Source organism: Homo sapiens, chromosome 13, assembly GCF_000001405.40.
Source record: "Homo sapiens chromosome 13, GRCh38.p14 Primary Assembly".
NCBI classification, from domain to species: Eukaryota; Metazoa; Chordata; class Mammalia; order Primates; family Hominidae; genus Homo; species Homo sapiens.
This window is the reverse complement of record NC_000013.11, coordinates 47,775,516-47,789,355: the sequence shown is the minus strand read 5'-3', so window position 1 is coordinate 47,789,355 and position 13,840 is coordinate 47,775,516. Positions and strand designations below refer to the sequence as shown.

At 40.5% G+C, this 13,840-nt stretch overlaps 2 annotated features.

Annotated features, from left to right (window-relative positions):
• Window positions 6,622–7,138: an enhancer, noted in NCBI's record as "NANOG-H3K4me1 hESC enhancer chr13:48356353-48356869 (GRCh37/hg19 assembly coordinates)". NCBI's record gives its function as "activates a minimal SCP1, AML or CMV promoter by ChIP-STARR-seq in naive H9 embryonic stem cells {active_cell/tissue: H9 hESC(naive)}" and the evidence as "EXISTENCE:reporter gene assay evidence [ECO:0000049][PMID:30033119]".
• Window positions 7,139–7,655: an enhancer, noted in NCBI's record as "NANOG-H3K4me1 hESC enhancer chr13:48355836-48356352 (GRCh37/hg19 assembly coordinates)". NCBI's record gives its function as "activates a minimal SCP1, AML or CMV promoter by ChIP-STARR-seq in naive H9 embryonic stem cells {active_cell/tissue: H9 hESC(naive)}" and the evidence as "EXISTENCE:reporter gene assay evidence [ECO:0000049][PMID:30033119]".

Below are 13,840 nucleotides of genomic sequence, written 5' to 3'. Positions count from 1 at the left end.
ATATATATGTTATATATACATCACATTTTCTTTATATGTTCACCTGTTGATGGACACTTAGGTCGATTTAATGTCTTGGCTATGGTGAGTAATGTGATGAACATGGGAGTGCAGATATTTCTTCAACATGCTGATTTCATTTCCTTTGGGTGTGTATACAGCAGTGGGATTGCTGGATCATATGGTAGTTCTAGTTTTAATTTTTTTGGAATGCCCATACAGTTTTCAGTAATGGCTCTACTAATTTACATTCCCACCAATAGTGTGCAAAGGTTCCCTTTCTCCACACCCTCACCAACACTTCTTATCTTTTTGATAATAGTCATTCTACAGGTGGGAGGTGATAGCTCATTGTGGTTTTAATTTGCATTTCCCTGATAATTAGTCATGATGAGCATTTCTACATATGCCTGTTTGTCATTTGTATGTCTTCTTTTGAGAAATGTCTATTCAGGTCCTCAGCCCATTTTTAAATTGGGTTATTTGTTTTCTTTCTATTGAGTTGCTTGCATTCCTTGTGTAGTTTGGATATTAACCCCTTATCAGGTATGTAGTTTGCAAACGTTTTCTCCCACCCTGTATGTTGTCTCTTGGTTTTCTTTTTCTGTGCAGAAGCCTTTTAATTTGATATAATCCCATTTGTCTATGTTTGCTTTTATTGCCTGTGCTTTTGGGGTTATATCCATGAAATCATTGCCCAGACTAATGCCGTGGAGCTTTTCCCCTATGTTCTCTTCTGGTAGTGTTACTGTTTCAGGTCTTACATCGAAGTCTTTAATTCACTTTTGAGTTGATATTTTATATGGTTTGAGGTAAGGGTCCCATTTCATTCTTCTCCATGTAGATTTTCAGTTTTCCCAACGTCATTTATTGAGGAGGGTGTCCTTTCTGTATTATGAACTCTTGGTACCTTTGTTAAAGATCAATTGACCTTAAATGCATGGATTTATTCTTGAGCTTTCTGTTCAGTTCCATTGGTTAATATGTCTGCTTTCGTGCCAGTTCTATGATGTTTTGATTACCATAGCTTTGTAGTATATATTGAAATTGGATACTTTGATGCCTCCAGCTTTGTTCTTTCTGCTTGAGATTGCTTTGGCTCTTCAGAATCTTTTGTGATTCCATACAAATTTTAGAATTGTTTGTTTCTGTGAAAAATGCCATTGCCATTTTGATAGGGATTGCATTGAATCTGTAGATAACTTTGGGTAGTATGGACAATTTAACAATTTTAATTTTTCCAATCCATGAACACATGATATCTTTCCAATTATTTATTTATTCTTCAATTTCTTTCATCAACATTTTATAGTTTTTAGTATACAGATCGTTTACCTCATTAAATTTATTCCTAAATTTTTTTCTTGATATTGATTTAAATGAGACTGTTTTCTTAATTTCTCATTTGTATAGTTCGTTGTTAGTGTATAAAAACACTACTAATTTTTTTTATTATACTTTAAGTTTTAGGGTACATGTGCACATTGTGCAGGTTAGTTACATATGTATACATGTGCCATGCTGGTGTGCTGCACCCACTAACTCGTCATCTAGCATTAGGTATATCTCCCAATGCTATCCCTCCCCCCTCCCCCCACCCCACAACAGTCCCCAGAGTGTGATATTCCCCTTCCTGTGTCCATGTGATCTCATTGTCCAATTCCCACCTATGAGTGAGAATATGCGGTGTTTGGTTTTTTGTTCTTGTGATAGTTTACTGAGAATGATGATTTCCAATTTCATCCATGTCCCTACAAAGGACATGAACTCATCATTTTTTATGGCTGCATAGTATTCCATGGTGTATATGTGCCACATTTTCTTAATCCAGTCTATCATTGTTGGACATTTGGGTTGGTTCCAAGTCTTTGCTATTGTGAATAATGCCGCAATAAACATACGTGTGCATGTGTCTTTATAGCAGCATGATTTATAGTCCTTTGGGTATATATCCAGTAATGGGATGGCTGGGTCAAATGGTATTTCCAGTTCTAGATCCCTGAGGAATCGCCACACTGACTTCCACAATGGTAGAACTAGTTTACAGTCCCACCAACTGTGTAAAAGTGTTCCCATTTCTCCACATCCTCTCCAGCACCTGTTGTTTCCTGACTTTTTAATGAGCGCCATTCTAACTGGTGTGAGATGGTATCTCATTGTGGTTTTGATTTGCATTTCTCTGATGGCCAGTGATGGTGAGCATTTTTTCATGTGTTTTTTGGCTGCATAAATGTCTTCTTTTGAGAAGTGTCTGTTCATATCCTTCGCCCACTTTTTGATGGGGTTGTTTGTTTTTTTCTTGTAAATTTGTTTGAGTTCATTGTAGATTCTGGATATTAGCCCTTTGTCAGATGAGTAGGTTGCGAAAATTTTCTCCCATTTTGTAGGTTGCCTGTTCACTCTGATGGTAGTTTCTTTTGCTGTGCAGAAGCTCTTTAGTTTAATTAGATCCCATTTGTCAATTTTGGCTTTTGTTGCCATTGCTTTTGGTGTTTTGGACATGAAGTCCTTGCCCATGCCTATGTCCTGAATGGTAATGCCTAGGTTTTCTTCTAGGGTTTTTATGGTTTTAGGTCTAACATTTAAGTCTTTAATCCATCTTGAATTGATTTTTGTATAAGGTGTAAGGAAGGGATCCAGTTTCAGCTTTCTACCTATGGCTAGCCAGTTTTCCCAGCACCATTTATTAAATAGGGAATCCTTTCCCCATTTCTTGTTTTTGTCAGATTTGTCAAAGATCAGATAGTTGTAGATATGCGGCGTTATTTCTGAGGGCTCTGTTCTGTTCCATTGATCTATATCTCTGTTTTGGTACCAGTACCATGCTGTTTTGGTTACTGTAGCCTTGTAGTATAGTTTGAAGTCAGATAGTGTGATGCCTCCAGCTTTGTTCTTTTGGCTTAGGGTTGACTTGGTGATGCGGGCTCTTTTTTGGTTCCATATGAACTTTAAAGTACTTTTTCCAATTCTGTGAAGAAAGGCATTGGTAGCTGGATGGGGATGGCATTGAATCTGTAAATTACCTTGGGCAGTATGGCCATTTTCACAATATTGATTCTTCCTACCCATGAGCATGGAATGTTCTTCCATTTGTTTGTATCCTCTTTTATTTCCTTGAGTAGTGGTTTGTAGTTCTCCTTGAAGAGGTCCTTCACATCCCTTGTAAGGTGGATTCCTAGGTATTTTATTCTCTTTGAAGCAATTGTGAATGGGAGTTCACTCATGATTTGGCTCTCTGTTTGTCTGTTATTGGTGTATAAGAATGCTTGTGATTTTTGTACATTGATTTTGTATCCTGAGACTTTGCTGAAGTTGCTTATCAGCTTAAGAAGATTTTGGGCTGAGACAATGGGGTTTTCTAGATATACAATCATGTCGTCTGCAAACAGGGTCAATTTGACTTCCTCTTTTCCTAATTGAATACCCTTTATTTCCTTCTCCTGCCTGATTGCCCTGGCCAGAACTTCCAACACTATGTTGAATATGAGTGGTGAGAGAGGGCATCCCTGTCTTGTGCCAGTTTTCAAAGGGAATGCTTCCAGTTTTTGCCCATTCAGTATGATATTGGCTGTGGGTTTGTCATAGATAGCTCTTATTATTTTGAGATACGTCCCATCAATACCTAATTTATTGAGAGTTTTTAGCATGAAGGGTTGTTGAATTTTGTCAAAGGCTTTTTCTGCATCTATTGAGATAATCATGTGGTTTTTGTCTTTGGCTCTGTTTATATGCTGGATTACATTTATTGATTTGCGTATATTGAACCAGCCTTGCATCCCAGGGATGAAGCCCACTTGATCATGGTGGATAAGCTTTTTGATGTGCTGCTGGATTCGTTTTGCCAGTATTTCATTGAGGATTTTTGCATCAATGTTCATCAAGGATATTGGTCTAAAATTCTCTTTTTTGTTTATGTCTCTGCCCGGCTTTGGTATCAGAATGATGCTGGCCTCATAAAATGAGTTAGGGAGGATTCCCTCTTTTCCTATTGATTGGAATAGTTTCAGAAGGAATGGTACCAGTTCCTCCTTGTACCTCTGATAGAATTCGGCTGTGAATCCGTCTGGTCCTGGACTCTTTTTGTTGGTAAACTATTGATTATTGCCACAATTTCAGTTCCTGTTATTGGTCTATTCAGAGATTCAACTTCTTCCTGGTTTAGTCTTGGGAGAGTGTATGTGTCAAGGAATTTATCCATTTCTTCTAGATTTTCTAGTTTATTTGCGTAGAGGTGTTTGTAGTATTCTCTGATGGTAGTTTGTATTTCTGTGGGATCAGTGGTGATATCCCCTTTATCATTTTTTATTGCATCTATTTGATTCTTCTCTCTTTTTTTCTTTATTAGTCTTGCTAGCGGTCTATCAATTTTGTTGATCCTTTCAAAAAAGCAGCTCCTGGATTGATTAATTTTTTGAAGGGTTTTTTGTGTCTCTATTTCCTTCAGTTCTGTTCTGATTTTAGTTATTTCTTGTCTTCTGCTAGCTTTTGAATGTGTTTGCTCTTGCTTTTCTAGTTCTTTTAATTGTGATGTTAGGGTGTCAATTTTGGATCTTTCCTGCTTTCTCTTGTGGGCATTTAGTGGTATAAATTTCCCTCTACACACTGCTTTGAATGTGTCCCAGAGATTCTGGTATGTTGTGTCTTTGTTCTCGTTGGTTTCAAAGAACATCTTTATTTCTGCTTTCATTTTGTTATGTATCCAGTAGTCATTCAGGAGCAGGTTGTTCAGTTTCCATGTAGTTGAGCGGTTTTGAGTGAGATTCTTAATCCCGAGTTCTAGTTTGATTGCACTGTGGTCTGAAAGACAGTTTGTTATAATCTCTGTTCTTTTACATTTGCTGAGGAGAGCTTTACTTCCAAGTATGTGGTCAATTTTGGAATAGGTGTGGTGTGGTGCTGAAAAAAAATGTATATTCTGTTGATTTGGGGTGGAGAGTTCTGTAGATGTCTATTAGGTCCACTTGGTGCAGAGCTGAGTTCAATTCCTGGGTATCCTTGTTGACTTTCTGTCTCGTTGATCTGTCTAATGTTGACAGTGGGGTGTTAAAGTCTCCCATTATTAATGTGTGGGAGTCTAAGTCTCTTTGTAGGTCACTCAGGACTTGCTTTATGAATCCTGGTGCTCCTGTATTGGGTGCATATATATTTAGGATAGTTAGCTCTTCTTGTTGAATTGATCCCTTTACCATTATGTAATGGCCTTCTTTGTCTCTTTTGATCTTTGTTGGTTTAAAGTCTGTTTTATCAGAGACTAGGATTGCAACCCCTGCCTTTTTTTGTTTTCCATTGGCTTGGTAGATCTTCCTCCATCCTTTTATTTTGAGCCTATGTGTGTCTTTGCACATGAGATGGGTTTCCTGAATACAGCACACTGATGGGTCTTGACTTTTTATCCAATTTGCCAGTCTGTGTCTTTTAATTGGAGCATTTAGTCCATTTATATTTAAAGTTAATATTGTTATGTGTGAATTTGATCCTGTCATTATGATGTTAGCTGGTTATTTTGCTCGTTAGTTGATGCAGTTTCTTCCTAGTCTCGATGGTCTTTACATTTTGGCATGAGTTTGCAGCGGCTGGTACCGGTTGTTCCTTTCCATGTTTAGCGCTTCCTTCAGGAGCTCTTTTAGGGCAGGCCTGGTGGTGACAAAATCTCTCAGCATTTGCTTGTCTGTAAAGTATTTTATTTCTCCTTCACTTATGAAGCTTAGTTTGGCTGTATATGCAATTCTGGGTTGAAAATTCTTTTCTTTAAGAATGTTGAATATTGGCCCCCACTCTCTTCTGGCTTGTAGGGTTTCTGCCGAGAGATCCGCTGTTAGTCTGATGGGCTTCCCTTTGAGGGTAACCCGACCTTTCTCTCTGGCTGCCCTTAACATTTTTTCCTTCATTTCAACTTTAGTGAATCTGACAATTATGTGTCTTGGAATTGCTCTTCTCGAGGAGTATCTTTGTGGCATTCTCTGTATTTCCTGAATCTGAACGTTGGCCTGCCTTGCTAGATTGGGAAAGTTCTCCTGGATAATATCCTGCAGAGTGTTTTCCAACTTGGTTCCATTCTCCCCATCACTTTCAGGTACACCAATCAGACATAGATTTGGTCTTTTCACATAGTCCCATATTTCTTGGAGGCTTTGCTCATTTCTTTTTATTCTTTTTTCTCTAAACTTCCCTTCTCACTTCATTTCATTCATTTCATCTTCCATTGCTGATATCCTTTCTTCCAGTTGATCACATCGACTCCTGAGGCTTCTGCATTCTTCACGTAGTTCTCGAGCCTTGGTTTTCAGCTCCATCAGCTCCTTTAAGCACTTCTCTGTATTGGTTATTCTAGTTATATATTCTTCTAAATTTTTTTCAAAGTTTTCAACTTCTTTGCCTTTGGTTTGAATGTCCTCCTGTAGCTCAGAGTAATTTGATCGTCTGAAACCTTCTTCTCTCAGCTCGTTAAAGTTATTCTCCGTCCAACTTTGTTCCGTTGCTGGTGAGGAACTGTGTTCCTTTGGAGGAGGAGAGGCGCTCTGCGTTTTAGAGTTTTCCAGTTTTTCTGTTCTGTTTTTTCCCCATCTTTGTGGTTTTATCTACTTTTGGTCTTTGATGATGGTGATGTACAGATGGGTTTTTGGTGTGGATGTCCTTTCTGTTTGTTAGTTTTCCTTCTAACAGACAGGACCCTCAGCTGCAGGTCTTGGAATACCCTGCCGTGTGAGGTGTCAGTGTGCCCCTGCTGGGGGGTGCCTCCCAGTTAGGCTGCTCGGGGGTCAGGGTTCAGGAACCCACTTGAGGAGGCAGTCTGCCCGTTCTCAGATCACCAGCTGCGTGCTGGGAGAACCACTGCTCTCTTCAAAGCTGTGAGACAGGGACATTTAAGTCTGCAGAGGTTACTGCTGTCTTTTTGTTTGTCTGTGCCCTGCCCCCAGAGGTGGAGCCTATAGAGGCAGGCAGGCCTCCTTGAGCTGTGGTGGGCTCCACCCTGTTCGAGCTTCCTGGCTGCTCTGTTTACCTAAGCAAGCCTGGGCAATGGCGGGCGCCCCTCCCCCAGCCTCGCTGCCGCCTTGCAGTTTGATCTCAGACTGCTGTGCTAGCAATCAGCGAGACTCCGTGGGCATAGGACCCTCTGAGCCAGGTGCGGGATATAATCTCATGGTGCACCATTTTTTAAGCCGGTCCGAAAAGCGCAATATTCGGGTGGGAGTGACCCGATTTTCCAGTTGCGTCCGCCACCCCTTTCTTTGACTCGGAATGGGAACTCTCTGACCCCTTGCGCTTCCGAAGTGAGGCAATGCCTCGCCCTGCTTTGGCTCACGCACGGTGCGCGCACCCACTGACCTGCGCCCACTGTCTGGCACTCCCTAGTGAGATGAACCCGGTACCTCAGATGGAAATGCAGATATCACCCGTCTTCTGCGTCACTCACGCTGGGAGCTGTAGACTGGAGCTGTTCCTATTCGGCCATCTTGGCTCCTCCCCACTACTAATTTTTTGTATGTTGATTTTGTATTTTGTGACATTACTGAATTCATTTATTAGTTCTAACAGTTTTTTGATATACTCTTTAGGGCTTTCTATATATAACACCATATCATCTGCAAACAGATAATTTTACTTCTTCCTTTCCTATTTGGATCCATTGTATTTTTTTTTCTTGCCTAATTTTTCTGGCTAGGACTTCCAGTTCTATGTTGAATAGAAGTGGTAAGAGTGGCCATCTTTGTCTTCTTCCTTAAGCTGATAGACATTTAATTTGTTTTCACTTTTCTGTTTATTGTAAATAGTGTGCTATAAACATTCATTTACAGATTTTTGTGTGAATATACATATGTATTTCTCTTGGTTATATGCCTAGGAGTGGAATTTCAGGTTCATATGGAAACTCTGTGTTTAAATTTTTGAGAAGATACCAACTTGCATAAAGATAATGATAATAATAGCCACTATGTATGTTGTATTATATCTCTGCTGCAGACAGTGGTTAAATTATAAATGTTATATGTAAGTGCAGACTTAAAGTACTAGTTTATAATGAGTTAAGTTGGCTTGAAAGAAATTTAAGTGTGGGGATGTTTTTGTGGACAAAAGCAAGAAGATGCTATTGCAAGTCTGTAGGAAGAGACCCTCACAGGTACCATAAGGAAAATAATAGGCTAGTTAAAAGAACCATCAAGGGTTAAAACTCCTGTACAGAGCAGGCACTTAGAACTCACTCCTGGGGAGGTAAAGACTACAGTAAAAGTTTATTGCATGAACAGAGGCATCCAACATGTTTGTTGCATGAACAAAACAACTTCTTTTGCATTAGGAAATATATGTATCATGTTTACCATAGTCCAAATAACATGGAATTATAAAAATATATACAAAAATTCTCTGATACTTCTTCTTTCAAGAGTTAAAGCCTAATTCCTCTCCCCTTGAGTGTGAGCTGGATTTAGTGACCCGCCTTTAAGAAACAGATAGAAGTGGAAGTGATGGCGAACACTTTGGAGAATAGGTCATGGAAAGGCACTGTTACTTCTGCCTTGTTCACTTTCTCTAGAATTATTCGCTTTGAGGAAAGCCAGTTTCCATATTGCTCTGTGAAGAGGCCTACATGATGAAGAACTGAAGTCTCCAATCAACAATCACATATCTAAACTTGAAAGTGAATCCTCCAGTCTCAGTTGAGCTTTCGGATTGCTGTAGCCTGTCCCCCCTACCCTATGGACAGATTGACTGCAACCTCATGATAGCCCCTGAACCAGAAGAACCTCATAAATGACTTCAAAATTCCTAACTCTCAGAAACTATGTGAGATGATAAACATCTGTTGTTTTAAACTGTTAAGCTGCTAGGTTTTAGCATAGTCTGTATAAGCAGTAGATAAATAATATACAAGGGGAAACCTCAGTAACTAATAGTGGTGATGGTGGTAGTGGTGATGGTGGTAGTGGTGATGGTCGTGGTGATGATGATGCAAGAGGAGGAGGAAGCTGCTGGTATGAGCCCCAAAGTCTCCTGTTTAGGAGGTAAAATAAATCTTTTTTATAAAAGCCCTTTTGTATTTTTTCTTTTTCTCTGAACTATGGTGCAAAGAGTGTTGCAATGTTGCTTCAAGGGAGAGGCTCTTGCTGGTGAGTGAAGAAACTCTACTTGTTCATGACTGTGTTGGTTTCTCTCCTGGCACCTTGACCCTGTGATGCTTTATGGGAGGATACACACAAGTGATATTTCATTTCATGCAGAGCTCTCTGCCTAGATGTCAGCAGACTGCTTTTTCACTTTCTGTCTGAAAGTTCAGGTCACTGAGCAGAGAGTTAGTTTATCAAAATTACTTACCTAGACAAAATTCAGGTACAATCTAAAAATCTGTACTTACATATGTATAAATGACTGTTGTGACTTCTGCCATGTTTGTTCTTTAAAATAAAAATAAGGACAATTGCCTTTGGGTTCTGTCAGTCACTAATGTTGCATAGATGAACTGTAGAGCAAGGGTCCCCAACCCCCAGGCCATGGACCAGTACTGTCTGTGGCCTGTTAGGAACTGGGCCACACAGAAGGAGTGAGTGGTGGGTGAGCGAGCATTACTGCCTGAGCTCTGCCTCCTGTCAGATCAGCTGCAGCATTATATTCTCATAGGAGTGTGAACCCTGCTGTGAACTGCGCATGTGAGGGATCTAGGTTTTGTGTTCCTTATGAGAATCTAATGTCTGATGATCTGAGGTAGAATAGTTTCATCCTGAACCTAACGACCACCACAGTCCATAGAAAAATTATCTTCCATGAAACCAGTCCCTGATGCCAAAAAGTTTGGGGACCACTGCTTTAGAGGACTACATAAGGATAATGATATTAATAGCCACTATGTATAAGCTAAACACCCCACACAAACATATACATCATCTACTATGCTCATCCAATCCTGATCACTGAGAAGAAGATTGCATTTCAAAGGTGTTAATTAACCCAAGGGTACTTGCTGTGGTGAGGCTTGGCTTCAAATCTGGTTCTCATGGTCTCCAAAGAATGAGTTCCATCAATACCTACTTTATTGAGAGTTTTTAGTATGAAGGGGTGTTGAATTTTATCGAAGGCCTTTTCTGCATCTATTGAGGTAATTGTGTGGTTTTTGTCATTGGTTCTGTTTATGTGATGGATTATGTTTATTGATTTGTGTATGTTGAACCAGCCTTGCATCCCAGGGATGAAGCTGACTTGATTGTGGTGGATAAGCTTTTTGATGTGCTGCTGGATTTGGTTTGCCAGTATTTTATTGAGGATTTTCACATCAATGCTCATCAGGGATATTGGCCTGAATTTTTCTTTTTTTGTTGTCGGTGTAAATTAGTTTGACAATTGTGGAAGACAGTGTGGTGATTCCTCAAGGATCTAGAACCAGAAATACCATTTGGCCCAACAATCCCATTACTGGATATATACCCAAAGGATTATAAATCATTCTACTATAAAGACACATGCACACGTATGTTTATTGCAGCATTGTTCACAACAGCAAAGATTTGGAACCAACCCAAATGTCCATCAATGATAGACTGGATAAAGAAAATGTGGCACATATACACCATGGAGTACTATGCAGCCATAAAAAAGAATGAGTTCATGTCCTTTGCAGGGATATGGATGAAGCTGGGAACCATCATTCTCAGCAAACTAATGCAAGAACAGAAAACCAAACACCACCTGTTCTCACTCATAAGTAAGAGTTGAACAATGAGAACACATGGACACAGGGAGGGGAACATCACACACGGGTTGGGTGGGGGTGGCTAGGGGAGGGGTAGCATTAGGAGAAATACCTAATGTAGATGACGGGTTGATGGGTGCAGCAAACTGCCATGGCACGTGTATACCTATGTAACAAACCTGCACGTTCTGCACATGAATCCCAAAACCTAAAGTATAATTTAAAAAAAAGTTAAAAAAAAAAAAGAATGAGTTCAGGAGATCCCTCTATGACCACACTGTCTCCCTTCCTTACTACTCAATTGATGCCTCCTTTAAGAAGGTAAATGCTTTTATCCAATTTATAGAACTGTTTGAACTTGATGGATATAAATGTAAATGTTTGAATGTTTTTCTCCAATGCCTTTTTCACCTGTGCTTTGTTCAGGCTTCTTTCTCCAGCCATAAATGACATTTTGGGTAGCACCATAGCCCTCAGATCACTTTCAGTTATTCTGTTAATGCAGTCTGTGGGAGGCAGCTTCTGGAATGACCCTCATGTTGGAGAGGCCCATATGGCAGGGAACTCAGGGTCACCTCTGGCCAACAGGAAGGGAGATACTGAGGCCCTCAGTCTAAGAGCTCATAAGTAATGGAATCCTGCCAACAACCACATGAATGAGCTTGGAAGTGGATTCTTCCCAGTGGAGCCCTGAGATTACTGTAACCCCAGCTAGCATCCTGATTGCAGCCTGAAGCAGAACACCCAGCTAAGTTGTACCCAGATTCCTGACCCATAGAAACAGAGTAAATGTGTGTGGTTTTAAGCCACTACATCTCTTATAAGAGACCAAACTGTGTTAGTCCATTCTGGTATTGCTATAAAGAAATACCTGAGGCTGGGTAATTTATAAGAAAGAAGAGTTTGTTTTGGATCATGGTTCTGCAGGCTGTACAGGAAGTGTGGTGCCAGCATCTGCTCCTGGTGATAACCTCAGGAAGCTTCCAATTATGGTGGAAGGAGAAGGGGAACCAGTATGTCATATAGTGACAGAGGGAACAAGAGGGAGAGAAAGGAGAGGTCCCAGACTTTTAGACAACTAGATCTTTCTAGAACTAACAGCAAGAACTTACTTATCCCCAAGGGGATGGAGCTAAACTATTCATGAGGGATCCACCCCTATGATCCAGTCACCTCCCACCAGGCCCTACCTCCAACACTGGGAATCACATTTCAACATGAGATTTGGAAGGGACAAACATCCAACCTATATCAATAATGAATGTACTGACCCAGCTTAAAATTTCAACTGGACATCCAATTTAATGATTATTTTCTATCATCCTCCTTTCCCCTTTCTGTCTGTGGTCAGGAGACTTGCAGAACCTGCCCTTTCATTTCTTCCTCCACCTCTGCTCTTTTGGGTTTCTGTCTCCTTTGGTAGGAGCTGTGGAGGGATATGGAAAGACACAGTGTTTCTTGTCTGACATCTTCATCATTTTTCTGCTGTTACTTTGCTTCTCTGGCTTTGAGTAAATGTCTCTTGGACAAGCATTCCCCTCTTTCAGGACATATGTGTGAGTGGGTTCTTTGTAGAACGCTTTGGAGCTTCCCCGCAGGTTCCTGATCTTTTCTGATTCCTCTATAGAGTCTTCATCCCAGACAATCCACTCTACAGGTTCTCATTGTTGGGATCCACCTGCCAGCAGGATCTTGCGTGGGCATCTGCAAGCTGGCTCAAGTCCAGCTACCTTCAATTTTGTCCATTTTCCGCTGTTCATCTGCCTCCAGCTCTTTCTGCTTTGCTGTTCCTCCCAATTCCAATGGCTGGGTTGAGCAAATAAAACACAGGACACCCAGCTGAATTTGCACTAGATCTTAGCCAAAGGGCCAAGAAGTGATTGATGTCCAGTTAAACTTGAATTTCAGATAAACAATGCATATTTTTTAGTATAAGTAAGTTCCATACATCGTATAATTTATCTGGCAACCCTGTCCCCATGCTCTTGCATTTTTCTCAAATAGACACACAGAGAGATCAGCAAGGCCACTGCCCAGTGAGAGAATAAAATGCTAGTATCACTTCTGGTGGCCAAGTAGAATGATTCTCTTGGCCAGTTGCTTGCTTGACCTGAGATAGGGATCCCAGGGAAGGGTGGGGAAAACTCATAATGAATACTGCATTTCCATTGACTTGTATCCTCCAATGATTTCTTTGATTCTCAGGTTTGCATTTATAGACTAAGAGAGGGATGGGCAGTGAACTTTGAGAGTCTTCCGTGGTGGGTGTCCATCTCTAGTTGTGTGTTATGTGTTGTTTTCTTGGTCTCAGCTTGGGGTAGCTGGCTTCAAATTTTGGGAATTAGGAAAAACTCTCTTCCACATCCTGTACATACTACAACACAGCTGCATCAAGGCAATCCCAGACTTTCTCATCTGAAGTTGTGATAGAACTTGCTTTTGTTATTCTAAGTAGTCTCTTGTATTTCAACAGCATGTGGTGTTGGAATATGTCAGTTTCCACATGGTGAAAAAGGTTACCTTGTTTAGCTTCCCTCCCTTTTTCTTGTTTAAATATTTTAAAACAGTTTCTTGCTGCCTGTTTGAGAACTTGAATCTTCATTCAGACATCTGTTCTGGAGCTAGTGAGACTGTTAAGCTCTGATGTACCTGGAGTTCTCTGTGGTGTCGTCTCATACCTCTTCCTAAATTCCCTGAATGTCCTGCAGATGCTCTTTGCCCACAGTGTTGCAAGCACTACCCAGATCCCCCAAAGAGGACTCCGGCATTCACTTCCCAGGCTGCTGACAGCTCACAGCTCAGTCACTTCTAGGGAATCGCCCTGAGGTAAAGGCAACTGCTTCACCCAAGTTTCTGGCCCAAACCTGGGGACAGCCTACACTCTATACCTGGTCACTGGGGAAAGCTGAGAAGCAGATGACACAAAGGCCTGACCACTTCTGACATATTTAGGACAATCTCATGTCAACTTGAGGGTACCTCCGGAGGGTTAGTCTGTGTCCATTGTTTCAATAGTATTGCTTAATTCCTGAACTGTTCTTTGTTGTTGTTGTTGTTGTTATTAATGTCTTTTATACTAAAATGTCCTTCAAAACTAGCTTGGAAAACACAACAGGATTAAATCCCAAATGTTTCTATTTCAAATGTTGTTTTTTTACT